This window comes from Homo sapiens, chromosome 22, assembly GCF_000001405.40.
Source record: "Homo sapiens chromosome 22, GRCh38.p14 Primary Assembly".
NCBI classification, from domain to species: Eukaryota; Metazoa; Chordata; class Mammalia; order Primates; family Hominidae; genus Homo; species Homo sapiens.
In genome coordinates this window covers 28,334,983-28,352,581 of record NC_000022.11, presented here as the reverse complement: position 1 = coordinate 28,352,581, position 17,599 = coordinate 28,334,983, and the positions used below count along the sequence as shown (strand labels likewise).

Genomic DNA, 17,599 nt, shown 5'->3' with positions numbered 1-17,599 from the left:
GTCCTCCTGCTTCCTGGGAGCTTTATTGGCTCCAGCTCCTGCTTACCTCTCTGACTTTTATTTCCTCATTGTTTCTGGCACTTAGGAATTTCCGTTTCTTGAACATGAGCTCCGAAATGTAGCCTAAGATTATTTTCATATATTCTGCTCATTCTTTGTTTTTAGATTTGGAGCTGTGCCTTTCCACAATAGCCCTATATACCATATTTGCTGTACTGACTGCAAGCATCTGCACTTACCGGGAGATATATATATATATATATATATATGTATATATCTCTGTCTAATAGGTTCTTAGAATTTTCGATTAATCAGGTTCTTTTTTCAGCCCTAGGATATTACTTTGCACATAGTTGGTATTCAATAACAAGCTATTAAATAAGGGATAAGTAGATGAGATCTAAGGCATTGGTTTTCAGTTTTGAAAGTTTATAGATCATTGGTGAAAATTTAAACTTTATTATTGCTTAATTTTGTAATTTTCTTCTGCCTTATTTTTCTTCTTAAATGAATTCTGTGTAACCTGTTAATTAAAGTGAACTGAATTAGAGGGTGGGTTGTAGAGGGGAGAATATCTAGAAACGAACACACAGCAGAGTATTCAAAATTGTATCATGAATCAGTGATCCAAAGAGGGAGGTAAGTATCAATAAGCCACTAAAAGATATTCTTAGACAGAATCAGTGAAAAATCCCCAGGGACCCTTCTGAAAGAAGAGAGCAGTGTTATCAGCTCCCTGTGTATCAACCATTTGTGTCTCTTCGTGAAATTCTCCTCCTTATCTTTAAAGCAGACTTTGATAAAAGATTGCTGACTAGTATGTTTTTTCTTGACTTCCAGAGCTACTTTAATTTTCTCATAAACACCAAGGTAATCTCACTTAGACTAAGTGCCTTCTTCTATCTCAGGCAGAGACCATTTTTCTGCTCTTCAGCTTGAGGAGGGTTAACATTGGCTCTGAATGAACATCTGCTGGCCCCATATTGACACAGGAATAAATTATTCAGCATGTAGTATTTGGGAATTTAAAAGCTCCGTGATGAATTCTACAAAACTATAATATGTCTCTGACATTCTAGGGTTTCATTATTTTGTCTTCAATTATTCACAAAGGCTTTTCACGTCTCAAAGCATATATGGGATTCTTGAGATCAAGAGAGCCCACGGCTGAAACAATAGAAGACTATATTAAGATATGATCTTCTTTTTGTTTTGGTAGTATTTTTCTTTTTGGGTGGACTAAAATACCATTTCTTTACACACATAAAACTAAGATCTGTTTGTTATGAGAATGAGCTCTTTTGTTTGTAGAATGCATGTTGTCAGGAGATGCTCTCTATGTGCAGTGTTGCCAGTCCTTTCCTGATAGCTCTGGAGAAGTGTTTCTTTTTTTTTTCTTTGAGACAGAGTCTTGCTCTGTCACCCAGGCTGTAGTGCAGTGGCACGATCTCGGCTCACTGCAAGCTCCGCTCCCGGGTTCATGCCATCCTCCTGCCTCAGTCTCCCAAGTAGCTGGGACTACAGGTGCCCGCCACCACACCCAGCTAATTTTTTTGTATTTTTAGTAGAGACAGGGTTTCACCGTGTTAGCCAGGATGGTCTTGATCTCCTGACCTTGTGATCCGCCTGCCTCAGCCTCCCAAAGTGCTGGGATTACAGGCGTCAGCCACTGCGCCCGGCCGAGAAGTGTTTCTTAAGGATTATAACAGTGATTCTCAAACTTTATTTACTGTAAAAGATTAATTGGGTTTTCTATGTGTGCATAGATTGGCACTTTAAGATCTAAAGTCAGGCAAGGGGGTCTCCTAAATATCTCTTAGGTTATTTTCTGTTTTTCTACTTTTGTGTGTTAACTCCTGCCCTCTTTGTTTCTGATTGCATTGTCGTGATGGCTTTCCACTAATTCAGGGATTCTTAAGCTTGTGTGCGTGTGCGTGCATGCCGTGGATCCCTTTAGCAGTTTGTTAGAGCCTATGGTTACAAGATAAACTGATTACAGAAATACGGTTCCATCCATGGGAGTTCCTTACAGCTCAAAGTATGGAATATCTTCTAGTGTAACCTAAACTAGACCTCAAAAAATATTCCATCAAAGCTAAAACTTTTCATTCCTGTGATTGACCCCAAAGCAAATTTTAGGATTTGAGCAAAACACATTAAACCATGAAAAACAACTTTTTGATGAATAACTAATTCAAGGGCTATCATTAGTCCTTGAAAAAAGCTAAAAACTAAGAATAAAGATCCAAATTTTCTTACAATATTAATTCATATACACAATACAGTCTGTCCCTAAAATTGCTAGTAAATCTGTTAGATGCACAGGAAAATAAGTCAATATAGCTGTGAGAAAAAAATATACTTTATCTGGAATGTGGTTAATATTTCAACTTGCCTCTTCAGTACTGCTCTTATAGCCTTCCTTAGTTGCTATTTTATGTAAAATATGTGTAGGAAGGGACAAAGAAAGGTGAGAGATAATGGACCTGTTTCTCTCCAGTGCTTATGTCATTCTCTACTAATGAGTTAGATATGAAAAGAGGTACATTTACTCTTTCAACCTTCTAGATACACACTGGACAATTGTGCGAGTTTTGTACATGAGTTTTGTACATTACTATCTCATCTTCACTGTAGTGTAACATTGGGTTAATTTCTTTTAGAAGTGTTGGGCACTCGGGGTTACAAGGAGTGCACTGGGATCATGTCATTCATTTGCTTTTTTGCCAACTTGTTAGTATAAAGTTAATTCAAATGTTTTTTAGGTTACAGTAAGAAATGATGAGTTTTATATTTTGCCCCAATACATAATCACAAAATTATAATACTTTCTTACATTTATATGTAATGTTTCTAATACACTTTAATTTATTCAGTCTCATTGTATCACAGTAACTAGTGACACACATATGGCAGGGATTATTTCTATTTTGTGTAAGAGGAAACTGAGGTCCAGAGAGGTTGTGACTTGCCTAAAGTCACAGTAAGGTATAGAAACTGAGATGGGAACTCAAGCCTCTTGGCTCCTTTCCAGTGCTCTTTTTCTGTAACTTCAGTCTGAGAGAGTTTGCTCTTTGCTTTCTCTGCAGTATTCTTTAGTACCATTCAGGCAGATGGATGGGCATTTGTTCAGTCGTGGTAATGGACATGGATTATGTTCCCATCTGTTTGGTTGAAAATCAGTGACTATACTGAGCAATGTCCATTTAAAATATTAAATTGCATCAAAACTTATGACATTTAAAGTGCTTTTACAATTTAGTTAAGATAACAATTTCATCTGTTTCTATGTAATTACAGGGGTTTTGAATCATTTCAATTTAGCAGGCTGAAAAAATATGACCTCTGGCTACATGGCCTTTTCATTTTATGGGTGTGTACATGTCTGTGTGTGTGTGTGCGTGCACATGCATGTGTGTGTAACTGATGAACTTGGGAAGGTTTCATTACCTTCTGCTCTGCTTTTCCAAAGGCCCTAATTGTCTCTACTGCAACCCCCAAGCCTTCTCCTCCTGTCTGCTGACAGCAGTCAGGATTTCCATGTGACACAGAGCAGCAGATTATTGATTTTGTTTTTTGTCAGGGCACTGTGTGTGTCATTTGAGGTGGTCTTGTGGGCATTTAGTTCATCAGTGATTATGCACAGGACCCACTTTAGCTTGAGCTAGGAAGGAAATGTCAAACAGGAAAGGACTGGGACGATTCTTTTAAGAGTGAGCATCAGGGAATTTATACTAGAGAGAAACACTGACCTGTCACTTCTCTTTCAGCATTTCACTTTGATTTCCAGTTGACATGTTTAAAGAGCCTGACATTTCATTTCTCTGTGTTCACTTGAGCAGGGAGTATGGGATCAGAAGCCATCGATTGGTTAGCAGTAGTCTATAACTCTTAAGTAGCATTTGGTCATGAATGAAAGGTCCGCATGTTTGTAAGGCAGCTCCCAAACAACTGGATATTTCTGTAGCCTTTGTGGGTCTGTCCTGTTTTGAAGGCATGGAGAAGTAGGTCTGGCTCAACTGAGCTGCAGAGAAGCCTCACCTCCTCTAAGGTGAATGTTAATTCCAAGGATGTTATAAAATCTGTATGCTTTATTTTGAGCTCAGTTCCTCAGCACACTTGGCTTATCTTGGAACGCCCCAGGATCTTTCCAGGATCCTTAGAATTAGCCTCTGGAGGCGTCCTAGGTAGGCTTGCACATAGTACCCTCTGAGAGCCCCAGGGAGTCCTGGATAGCAGCTTTTTTCTTTAGTCCCTTAGCTTCATTCTATCTTTTAAGGATGAGAGGCGTATGAAAAGACTTGAGGGCCTCCATGCACGTGGGCAATGGCTGGAGCTGCATCTCCTATTTTTAGACCACATCTGTGAGTTCTGCCATTGTTCCTAGTGTCTAAGAGAGTAATGGCCGTTTTCTTCTACAAATTTTACCCTACGGGAATCTTCTTCTATAACAGCCCTAAGCACTAGGTTGACTGTCTGAAACCAAGCTGCAGATCCTAGACGGACTTGGAACAGTAGAAGGAAGGGCATGTGCCAGGCTCTTTCCTTCTTGTTTGTTACTTGAGAAAGAAGAAACAAGCCAGTCTGCTTTTGGTTTTGATTGGTTGATACCAGTCTGGTAGGTCTGAAGGGAGATGCCAAAACCCCACTGCTTTAAGTTCCTTCCTCAAAATATGTAAGACAGCGTAGGTGCTGTTCTTTTCTTTTCAGACGGAGTCTCACTCTCTCACCCTGAAGTGCAGTGGCACGATCTCGGCTCACTGTCACTGCAGCCTCCGCCTCCTGGGTTCCAGCAATTATTCTGCCTCAGCCACTTGAGTAGCTGGGATTACAGGTGGTCTGCCACCACACCTGGCTAATTTTTGTATTTTTGGTAGAGATGGGGTTTCACCATGTTGGCCAGGCTGGTCTCGAACTCCTGACATCAAGTGATCCACCCGCCTCAGCCTCCCAAAGTGCTGGGATTACAGGCATGAGCCACTGCACTCAGCCAGGTGCTATTCTTTCTACCGCCCTTTTCAGTGCGCCTTACCTGCTCCTAAAGGGGTTAGGTGTAAACGCGGTGATCTCAGGGCTTTAGGTACTTTATGCGCTTATATATCTATATTGTGTATGAGTAATATATAGATCATTCTCAAGCTATCTGTGATGAAAATCTATCAACAAAACTCTAGGGATGAAATATGAAATTTAATAGAGTGCACCATAAATGGAGAGGAGTAGAAGTAACTGAAGGAGCATATGTTGAGGAGAAAAGGGCAATGACTTTCAAGAGTCTTTCTTTTTTCTTTTTTTGTTTTTTTTTTTTTTCCTCTTTTGAGACAGGGTCTCACTCTGTTGCTCAGGCTGGAGTGCAGTGGTATGATGTTGGCTCACTGCAACCTCCACCTCCTGGGTTCAAGCAATTCTCCCACCTCAGCCTCCCAAGTAGCTGGGACTGCAGGTGCACACCACCACATCCAGCTAATTTTTGTATTTTTTGGGGGAGATGGGATTTCACCATGTTGGCCAGGCTGATCTGGAACTCCTGACCTCAAGTGATCTGCCCTTCTTGGCCTCCCAAAGTGTTGGGATTACAGGCATGAGCCACCGCACCCGGCCATAGTCTTTCCTTTAAAAGCTTTAATTTGTTTCTACCCTGATCTCCTCACTGAATATTGTTTGTTGTTTGTTTTTGCTTGCTTGTACCTTGACAATTTTTTCCCCTTTGATTTAAGTTGCTTCCTTTGTTACTGTGCAATGCAATGTGCTTAACCACAGCCTTCCTCTACTTCCTACCCTATCTCCCAGAACAGTGGTTCAGGCATCTTTATTTCATCCTATCCTTTCCTTGCTCCCCTTCCTCTAAATGTACACATTGTCTGAATGTAAAGAGTCTTGCGTTACAGAGATTGGAGATCTATTAAATGTACACCAAGGATAGCTGTTAGGCAGTTTTCATGGATATGCAAGAAAGTTATGTCCACAAGTCCCACTCCTTGTCACTTGGCAAGAGCTATTATCAGTCACTTGCCCTAACAGGTGGTGACAGCTTTTGGATCTTTCCCTGGTATTCTGTGGCTCATTGTTAGCCAGCTTGGATCTCCTCCTGCCAAACTCTAGTGAGAGTTTGGAGCTGGTGTCACCTGTCTTAGCTTTCGGAATTTTCCAGTGAACATAAAGTAGCCTCAATGTTTCAAAGAAGAGCTGTTGGCCAGTACATGTCTTTGTCCCCAGATATTCAGGCTGTGGTCCCTAATCCAATCTGATACATTAGAATGAAAGTAATGCAACACTTTAGTACCCCGTTTTGACAAGTTTGGCGATAACTGGTATAAAGAATGATGAACTATGAACCAACATGTAGGAAGTTAGACAGACCTGAGTTAATGTCTCAAATCTTAACTACCTTATGAACTACCTTATGGCCTTGGGCAATTTATTTACCCTCTTGAATCTCAATTTCTGCTTAGTAAAATGGGCTAGTAGTACTTGTTTTACAGGTTGTTATAAAGAATACGTGAAAACATATTTAAAAAAGCATCCAGGATAGGGCCTTGACATTTGATAATGTTTGTTTTCCTTTCTTTCACACAAACCACCATCTCCACCAACTTCTACTCTGAAGACTGAATAAAAATTTACAGATTTGTAAGGTAGACTGACTGATTCAGGTTACTTATAGAAAACAATTTCTTACCTGTGACTTTTTTTCTGAGATGTTTTAATATTGAATGAATTCCCATTTATTTTAAATACTTTAATATCAGTTTGTTTGAAGTGAAGAGGTTGTACTACGTTACTGTTCAAGCTCCCTTCAAGCCCTGTAATTTCATGATTCTTTGTTGTTTTCGTAAAACCAATATAATATGCCTTCCTGGGTTTTAAGTTCTGATTTCTATTCAATAAAAGTCTTTGAAAAAGAGACTGAGCCTCATTAGAAATATTTCTTGTCTTTGTAACCAGAGCATCAGTGTTTTTGTGATGATGTTTTCTTTTAAAAATAAAAACAACTAAAACTGAGTTTCTTTGCCAAACCCTCAAAGTTGCTTTGCCTTGGGCTCTGTGAGCAAGCTCAGGCAGATCCATAAAAGGTCATCGCAGGCACCTCAGCTACCCAGCCTCCTTAGCTCTCTTACAAGAGCAGGGCCAAGGGAATGGGAAAAAAGGAGGGCTTGGAAAGGAGATGGTTCCGGACTTGAGGATTCAATAGTCCCATGCACTGTATAAGAATTTTTAGGGGGTGATTATTAGCATTTTGGCAGCAGTTATTTTTTTCTCCTTCCTGTGAGTTTTTATTTTGGGGGTCTAGCTTTGGATGTTCTATTAACTAGAACTTTATTGGCTGTAGTATGACATATTCCTTTGTGGTTCCAAATATTTGCGGCTGTTGTGGGATTTTCTTTTTAATTTCAGTTTCTATGATATTAAGACCAGCTGGTTAAAGTTATTTATTTTGATACAGAATGGTATTATGACTAAACCACGCTGAATAAAACTTCAGTCAGGGAGGCGGCATACTACAGTGTAAAGAGTGGGGGCTTTGAAGTCAGATCTGAGTTTGAATCCTAACTCAGTTGCTTAAGAAATGTGTGTGATGTGACGTGAGGCAAGCTGCTTACCGTCTGAATCTCATCTCCTTCACTGAAAATAATGAATTGTAATTCTTATGTTTTGGGGTGGCTGAGAACATTAATTTATGTAAAATGTCTGATATGTAAAGATCTGCTCATATTAGTCCTCTCCTTTCTTCTCCTTCCTCTTTCACTCCTTATTAATCAAAGAATGATTTAACCTCCGGTTTCACATGGGGACAGAGCCTTAGGAGCTCCTTTGGAGATGAAAGGAGAGAAAAACTCTTCCTTCTTTTTCCTAATTAAGGTTAGGGAGACTTGTTTTCTGATACCTTCAGGAAACTTTACTATCCTAACAGTGGACTCTATCTTATTGCATGAAGATTATAGAATTAGGATGAATATAAAATAATTTTTGGGTTGGGGCATAAATGGAGTGCCTGTCAGTTATAATTATTTAATAACAATCAAAAGAATATGTATTTTCAATTATATTTCTTTTAAACTTTCTAGATCTTTCAGCATGTTAGAGATCCATTCCTACAGTTTCCTTAATGCTTTCATATTCTTGGATTTGGCTAGTGGTGTCAGTGTCATGGTTCAATACTAACAATAAGGTATTTGTCATGTCTTAGTTCTTAAGCATATTTCAAAAAGATCTTAATATCAGATCCTTTGCATCAGGAAAGAAAGCTGAAGAAAGCTTATTGAGTTGAGAATATTTTAACAGAAGTCTTGTTGAATTTGCTGGGATTTTTATGGTAATGTTGCTTCAGAGAATATATGTTTCATTCTTCTTCGGTGAGTAGCACTGCTTCAAGACACAACTTGAAGGTACTTGTTTTGAATATAGCTTAATTTCTGAGTTGTGTTTCTAGACACCATACTAGATTGCTAGACTAGTGATTATAGGATTGGTATATGTGTGGTTAATACATTGTTTCACAGGCATAGGCCAGATATCAAATAACTGTAAGAATGAGACTTTTTAGAAATAGTAAATGCTATTTTTTTCTGTTGGATTTTATAGTATTGCTAAAAAGTAACTGAATTTATACATATATGTGGTTATATTAATATGTAAACAATAGCGTATATTTGATGTTGAAATAAAGAATCCTTTTCTTTGTCCTTCCTCTAAGCTTCCAAGGAAATTGAAAATACCAGAATACTGGGTTAATCCAAGTTTTTACTATTCATGTAATTTTAAAAAATAGGTAAAAGCTAGTTTTATACCAGCCCTTGAAAGCTGTAGAGCAGCTGTATCTGGTAGGCAGAACGTACTCAATGAAAATGTTGGTGCAGACAGAACAGGCTCCAGTAGATGTTTATAGATGTTTTCACATGTTACAAATTAAAGTATATTCATCTCCAGTGTCACATTCTACAAATCTCACTTAAAGGACTTACTTGTGCTCCATAAAAGTAATCTGTTGAAATTTTTGAATTAGGCAGAGGACATTGTTATCCCTTTGTATCAGAAGCTTTTTTTTTTTTTTGAGACAGAGTCTCACTCTGTGTCCCAGGCTGGAGTGCAGTGGCATGATCTTGGCTCAGTGTAACCTCCACCTCCCGGGTTCAAGTGATTCTCCTGTCTCAGCCTCCCAAGTGGCTGGGATTACAGGCACCTGCCACCACACCTGGCTAATTTTTGTATTTTTACTAGAGATGGGGTCTCACCATGTTGGCCAAGCTGGTCCCAAACTCCTGACCTCAAATGATCCACCTGCCTTGGCCTCCCAAAGTGCTGGGATTACAGGCATGAGCCACTGTGCCTGGCCTGTATCAGAAGCTTTTAAAGTTACATCTGATTTTCTCGTCTATTTTTTTCTGTCTAATCTCCGTTGTGTTTTATTTTATTCTATTTTTAAACAATTTCATGGATTATACATTTTGGAGATACTTCTTAATATTAGGTAAATCAATACATTTTGTATGCATTGTTCATAAGGTGTTATACTTTTTCATTATGTGTGTATGTTGTCTTCTGCCACCAACTAGATGTTTTCATAGTGAAAATATTTATTTTCACTTTATTTTGTGAGAGTAGTTGGTTCTCTAGTAGCAAAGACTGATGTGAATTGAAAGGTTTGTAATTTCCTCTCGTGGACCTAATAAAAATTTTAGTCTAGGTCTGTGCATGCCTATGTTAATTTCTCAGACTTATTTGGAAAATGTTTTATACTTTATTATAGCTTCTCTTGTCTGGTTAGTCTGCATTGTGTGGCTATAATGTGATCAAGAGCTTATGAGTTAGACATACTGTGTAGATATGCTTATTTGGTAGAATTATGATATTTCAGTTCTAAAATGTAAATTTGATTGGATCTGTATGAAAGATGAGCTCTTAACACATGATTTTTCATATATGCGTATGTATGTGCATTTCATATACCACCGTTTTTTGTGTATCATACATATATATTTTATCCTGCTTTGTCCATTTTTATCTATGAGAATTATGTAACAAAATAACTGTTTTAAAGCAATTTAAGCCGAAAATAAAAGTTTAGATGAATTTCAAGTTTTGTGAAATAGCATATGTCAGAATAGAAAATATTGGCAACATATAAGCAAAAATGAAAGTGATGGTCTCTGGGCAATGGTTGTGTTTTTATATTTTCCTAAATTTTCTAGAATGAACATATATTCTTTAATCAGAATAATATAAATCTTAAATGCAGTGGAAATCCAGCTTACTCTCTTTCAGTTGATAGATATGTTTTTGATTAATGAAAGCAACAAATATATCAGCATAAAGTATTTGAGTCTGAATCTCAAGCTTAACTGTAAAATAATTTAAAGTAATATTAGCTTTTTGTTTAACATTACAGAAACATGTTAATGATGCACTTAGAACATAGTTTCCTAACCCAGACCACATGTATCAATTAGGAAATTTAACACAAAAAACAATTTTAGCTCTTAGAAACCCAAAGATAGATCACTTTTTATTACAGAGTTTTAAACATGTTCAGAGTACAAATAAATAGCAAAATTTACTAACATTAAAATATCTTTGTTTTTTAAATTTTTTTCTGTTTTTTTAAGCGACAGGATCTTGCTCTGTTACCCAGGCTGGAGTTCAGTGGCATGATCATAGCTCACTGTAACCTTGAACTCCTGGGCCCGAGCCATCTTCCCACCTCAGCCTTTCAAGTAGCTGCATCTACAGGCGTACACCTCCATGTTTGGCTAATTTTTATTTTTATTTTTTTATTTTATTTTATTTTTTGAGATGGAGTCACATTCACTCTGTCACCCAGGCTGGAGTGCAGTGGCACAATCTCGGTTCATAGCAACCTCTGCCTCCCGGGTTCAAGCAATTCTCCTGCCTCAACCTCCCGAGTAGCTGGGGTTACAGGCATGCCACCACGCCCCGCTAATTTTTGTATTTTTAGTAGAGACAGGGTTTCACCATGTTGACCAGGCTGGTCTTGAACTCCTGACCTCAAGTGATCCACCTGCCTCGGCCTCCTAAAGTGTTGGGAATAGAGGCATGAGCCACTGTACTTGGCCTAATTTTTATTTTTATTTTTTGTTAAGATGAGATCTCACTGTGTTGCCCAGGCTGGTCTCAAATTCCTGACCTCAAGTGATTCTCCCACATCCACCTTCCAAAGTGTTGGGATTACAGGCATTACCCCCAGCCAAAAATGTCTGTATAATATAAGCTGAGCTCATTCAAAATTGCAAAAGCTTGTAAGAAAAGAATCAGGAAGTTGAATAAATTCCAAAAGAAACAAGACATTTACCCATGTTATTATGGCCTTGCAATTAATGGAGCAGTTTTTTCTTCCTCTATTGTTTTGATATATTTGTCTCCAATTGCCCACAATTCCTGTTTACATTTATCTTCAATTCATCTGAATTACCAAGTGAACTTGGAACAAAGGCAGTATTCTTTTGACCTTAGAGATAGATGCATCTTAGGATCCTTAGGGCATTAGTCATCTTTGGCATTGTTTTAGGCTTCTCAAAAGATGCTACATGTTGTACCCTTTGGAGACTTTAAATTAAAATAATTTTTCTTCCTAGTCATCTAGTTTAATTTGGTATTTCAGGGTATCTTTAATGCTGGAAAAAGGCATCTGAGCAACAACCAATGTGGAGCATATATTAAAATGTAAAATGTTATTTTCTCTGCTTTGGTCATTTTATAAAGGACCTTCATTGTAGACCCTGTTTATTAGGGGTTCCTGTATGTATAAATCAATTTTGACTTTTTCTTTGGTCTAATGATAATGTGACTTGTGAATAATTACTGCAGTAACTTCCAATTAAAGAGGATTGTGACTCAGATTAGGTTCTTGGTAATTAGTACTTTGTCATTTTACTTCATCAGAAAATGGTGTTTGCTGGTCTGGAATTAAGGAAAGACTTCCATTTGGCAATAAGTTCATTAACACATGGAAAGAAATAGCCTGGCTTATACCCTTGTTGCCAATCACATGTGTTTTTGTTAAAAGGAGAAGGTTGCCCTGCTTTGGGAGGATGGTGGTGACAGATTACTTATCCAAGATTTTTATATTAGGTGTTCTTCTTCTTTTCTTTTTTTTTTTTTTAAGGAAAAAAATGTTTGAAAAGGAAAGAAGTTGACATTGAAATGAAACCAAGTGTGGTAATCACAAGGTCTCAAATTATAGTGAATTTGGAGGCATGAAGGAGACGTTTGGTATGCCTTAGCAGTTACCCACTCTATAAATAATTAAAGGCAAAGAAGATCACATTTCATAGAAATGTGATTTTAGAATGTTACAGTTGTAAAGCACCTTAAGAGGTCACTTACTCCAACCCCTCACTTTAGAAATGATGGAACGAAGCCCCAGAGAAGGAAAGTAATTGAGGTTCATGTAACTCGTCCATAATAAGGGTAGGACCAGCCCAAGGTTTGTTCCTTATTCCCTGTCTAGTGTGATCAGGGAGAACAGTCTAAATGTTTTGCAGGAAGTGTGATTATGATTGAACTAGAGGTTAGAAAATACAGTGATTTAGGGAGCCAACATGGCCGAATAGGAACAGCTCCAGTCTACAGCTCCCAGCGTAGGCGACGCAGAAGACGGGTGATTTCTGCATTTCCAACTGAGGTACCGGGTTCATCTCACTGGGGAGTGTTGGACAGTGGGTGCAGGACAGTGGGTGCAGCCCACTGAGTGTGAGCCAAAGAAGGGTGAGGCGTCGCCTCACGCAGGAAGCACAAGGGGTCAGGGAATTCCCTTTCCTAGTCAAAGAAAGGGGTGACAGATGGCACCTGGAAAATCGGGTCACTCCCACCGTAATACTACGCTTTTCCAACGGTCTTAGCAAACACCACACCAGGAGATTATATTCCATGCCTGGCTCGGAGGGTCCTGCGCCCATGGAGCCTCACTCATTGCTAGCACAGCAGTCTGAGATCAAACTGCAAGGCGGCAGCGAGGCTAGGGGAGGGGCGCCCGCCATTGCCAAGGCTTGAGTAGGTAAACAAAGCGGCCGGGAAGCTTGAACTGAGTGGAGCCCACTGTAGCTCAAGGAGGCCTGCCTGCCTCTGTAGACTCCACCTCTGGGGGCAGGGCATAGCCAAACAAAAGGGAGCAGAATCCTCTGCAGACTTAAATGTCCCTGTCTGACAGCTTTGAAGAGAGTAGTGGTTCTCCCAGCATGCAGCTGGAGATCTGAGAATGGACAGACTGCCTCCTGAAGTGGGTCCCTGACCGCCGAGTAGCCTAACTGGGAGGCACCCCCCAGTAGAGGCAGACTGACACCTCACACAGCCAGGTACTCCTCTGAGACAAAACTTCCTGAGGAACGATCAGGGAGCAACATTTGCTGTTCACCAATATCCGCTGTTCTGCAGCATCCGCTGTTCTGCAACCTCCACTGCTGATACCCAGGCAAACAGGGCCTGGAGTGGACCTCCAGCAAACTCCAACAGACCTGCAGCTGAGAGTCCTGACTGTTAGAAGGAAAACTAACAAACAGAAAGGACATCCACACCAAAACCCCATCTGTACATCAGCATCATCAAAGACCAAAGGTAGATAAAACCACAAAGATGGGGAAAAAACAGAGCAGAAAAACCAGACACTCTAAAAATCAGAGCGCCTCTCCTCCTCCAAAGGAACACAGCTCCTTACCAGGAACGGAACAAAGCTGAATGGAGAACGACTTTGACAAGTTGAGAGAAGAAGGCTTACGATGATCAATGACGAGTTGAGAGAAGAAGACTTCAGATGATCAAACTACTCTGAGCTAAAGGAGGAAGTTCGAACCCATGGCAAAGAAGTTAAAAACCTTGAAAAAAAATTAGACAAATGGCTAACTAGAATAACCAATGCAGAGAAGTCCTTAAAGGACCTGATGGAGCTGAAAACCACGGCACGAGAACTACATGATGAATGCAGAAGCCTCAGTAGCTGATTTGATCAACTGGAAGAAAGGGTATCAGGGATGGAAGATCAAATGAATGAAATGAAGCGAGAAGAGAAGTTTAGAGGAAAAAGAATAAAAAGAAACAAACAAAGCCTCCAAGAAATATGGGACTATGTGAAAAGACCAAATCTACGTCTGATTGGTGTACCTGAAAGTCATGGGGAGAATGGAACCAAGTTGGAAAACACTCTCAGGATATTATCCAGGAGAATTTCCCCAATCTAGCAAGGCAGGCCAATATTCAAATTCAGGAAATACAGAGAACGCCACAAAGATACTCCTCGAGAAGAGCAATGCCAAGACACATAATTGTCAGATTCACCAAAGTTGAAATGAAGGAAAAAATGTTAAGGGCAGCCAGAGAGAAAGGTCGGGTTACCCACAAAGGAAGCCCATCAGACTAACAGCTGATCTCTCGACAGAAACTCTACAAGCCAGAAGAGAGTGGGGGCCAGTTTTCAACATTCTTAAAGAAAAGAATTTTCAACCCAGAATTTCATATCCAGCCAAACTAAGCTTCATAAGTGAAGGAGAAATAAAATCCTTTACAGACAAGCAAATGCTGAGAGATTTTGTCACCACCAGGCCTGCCCTAAAAGAGCTCCTGAAGGAAGCACTAAACATGGAAAGGAACAACCGGTACCAGCCACTGCAAAAACATGCCAAATTGTAAAGACCATCGAGGCTAGAAAGAAACTGCATCAACCAACGAGCAAAATAACCAGCTAACATCATAAAGACAGGATCAAATTCACACATAACAATATTAACCTTAAATGTAAATGGGCTAAATGCTCCAATTAAAAGACACAGACTGGCAAATTGGATAAAGAGTCAAGACCCATCAGTGTGCTGTATTCAGGAAACCCATCTCACGTGCAGAGACACACATAGGCTCAAAATAAAGGGATGGAGGAACATCTACCAAGCAAATGGAAAACAAAAAAAGGCAGGTGTTGCAATCCTACTCTCGGATAAAACAGACTTTAAACCAACAAAGATCAAAAGAGACAAAGAACGCCATTACATAATGGTAAAGGGATCAATTCAACAAGAAGAGCTAACTATCCTAAATACATATGCACCCAATACAGAAGCTCCCAGATTCATAAAGCAAGTCCTTAGAGACCTACAAAGAGACTTAGACCCCCACACAATAATAATGGGAGATTTTAACACCCCACTGTCAACATTAGACAGATCAACGAGACAGAAAGTTAACAAGGATATCCAGGACTTGAACTCAGCTCTACACCAAGCGGACCTAATAGACATCTACAGAACTCTCCACCCCAAATCAACAGAATATACATTCTTTTCAGCACCACACCACACCTATTCCAAAATTGACCACATAGTTGGCAGTAAAGCACTCCTCAGCAAATGTAAAAGAACAGAAATTATAACAAACTATCTCTCAGACCACAGTGCAATCAAACTAGATCTCAGGATTAAGAAACTCACTGAAAACCGCGCAACTACATGGAAACTGAACAACCTGCTCCTGAATGACTACTGGGTACATAACGAAATGAAGGCAGAAATAAAGATGTTCTTTGAAACCAATGAGAACAAAGACACAACATACCAGAATCTCTGGAACACATTCAAAGCAGTGTGTAGAGGGAAATTTATAGCACTAAATGCCCACAAGAGAAAGCAGGAAAGATCTAAAATTGACAGCCTAACATCACAATTAAAAGAACTTGAGAAGCAAGAGCAAACACATTCAAAAGCTAGCAGAAGGCAAGAAATAACTAAAATCAGAGCAGAACTGAAGGTCATAGAGACACAAAAAGCCCCTCAAAAAATCAGTGAATCCAGGAGCTGGTTTTTTGAAAAGATCAACAAAATTGATAGACTGCTAGCAAGACGAATAAAGAAGAAAAGAGAGAAGAATCAAATAGATGCAATAAAAAATGATAAAGCGGATATCACCACCGATACCACAGAAATACAAAGTACCATCAGATGATACTATAAACCACCTCTACGCAAATAAACTAGAAAATCTAGAAGAAATGGATAAATTCCTCGATACATACACCCTCCCAAGACTAAACCAGGAAGAAGTTGAATCTCTGAATAGACCAATAACAGGCTCTCAAATTGAGGCAATAATTAATAGCTTACCAACCAAAAAAAGTCCAGGACCAGATGGATTCACTGCTGAATTCTACCAGAGGTACAAGGAGGAACTGGTACCATTCCTTCTGAAACTATTCCAATCAATAGAAAAAGAGGGAATCCTCCCTAACTCATTTTATGAGGCCAGCATTATCCTGATAACCAACGCCTGGTGGAGACAACAAAAAAAGAGAATTTTAGACCAATATCCCTGATGAACATTGATGCAAAAATCCTCAATAAAATACTGGCAAACCGAATCCAGCAGCACATCAACAAGCTTATACACCACGATCAAGCAGGCTTCATCCCTGGGATGCAAGGCTGGTTCAGCATACACAAATCAATAAACGTAATCCAGCATATAAACAGAAGCAATGACAAAAACCACATGATCATCTCAATAGATGCAGAAAAGGCCTTTGACAAAATTCAACAGCCCTTCGTGCTAAAAACTCTCAATAAATTAGGTATTGATGGCACGTATCTCAAAATAATAAGAGCTATCTATGACAAACCCACAGCCAATATCATACTGAATGGCCAAAAACTGGAAGCATTCCCTTTGAAAACTGGCACAAGACAGGGATGCCCTCTCTCACCACTCCTATTCAACATAGTATTGGAAGTTCTGGCCAGGGCAATCAGGCAGGAGAAGAAAATAAATGTTATTCAGTTAGGAAAAGAGGAAGTCAAATTGTCCCTGTTTGCAGATGACATGATTGTATATCTAGAAAACCCCATCATCTCAGCCCAAAATCTTCTTAAGCTGATAAGGAACTTCAGCAAAGTCTCAGGATACAAAATCAATGTGCAAAAATCACAAGCATTCTTATACACCAATAACAGACAAACAGAGAGCCAAATCATGAGTGAACTCCCATTCACAATTGCTTCAAAGAGAATAAAATACCTAGGAATCCAACTTACAAGGGACATGAAAGACCTCTTCAAGGAGAAGTACAAACCACTGCCCAACAAACAAATGGAAGAACATTCTATGCTCATGAGTAGGAAGAATCAATATTGTGGAAATGGCAATACAGCCCAAGGTAATTTATAGATTCAATGCCATCCCCATCAAGCTACCACAGACTTTCTTCACAGAATTGGAAAAAACTACTTTAAAGTTCATATGGAACCAAAAAAGAGCCCGCATTGCCAAGTCAATCCTAAGCCAAAAGAACAAAGCTGGAGGCATCACGGTACCTGACTTCCAACTATACTACAAGGCTACAGTAACCAAAACAGCATGGTACTGGTACCAAAACAGAGATATAGACCAATGGAACAGAAAAGAGCCCTCAGAAATAATGCCACATATCTATGACTCTCTCATCTTTGGCAAACCTGACAAAAACAAGCAATGGGGAAAGGATTCCCTATTTAATAAATGGTGCTGGGAAGACTGGCTAGCCATATGTAGAAAGCTGAAACTGGATCCCTTCCTTACACCTTGTACAAAAATCAACTCAAGATGGGTTAAAGACTTAAATATTAGACCTAAA

The 17,599-nt window shown here is 39.3% G+C and overlaps 1 protein-coding gene across 11 annotated transcripts in view, besides 1 other annotated feature; it reads left to right on the top strand.

The window, feature by feature from the left end:
- Positions 1-17,599, top strand: part of TTC28 (tetratricopeptide repeat domain 28) — a 701,827-nt gene that overhangs the window by 327,259 nt on the left and 356,969 nt on the right. The window lies entirely within an intron of this gene.
- Positions 175-1,873: an enhancer, noted in NCBI's record as "VISTA enhancer hs1645". NCBI's record gives its function as "enhancer in: dorsal root ganglion[9/11] | trigeminal V (ganglion, cranial)[8/11] | cranial nerve[8/11]" and the evidence as "EXISTENCE:transgenic organism evidence [ECO:0001131][PMID:17130149]".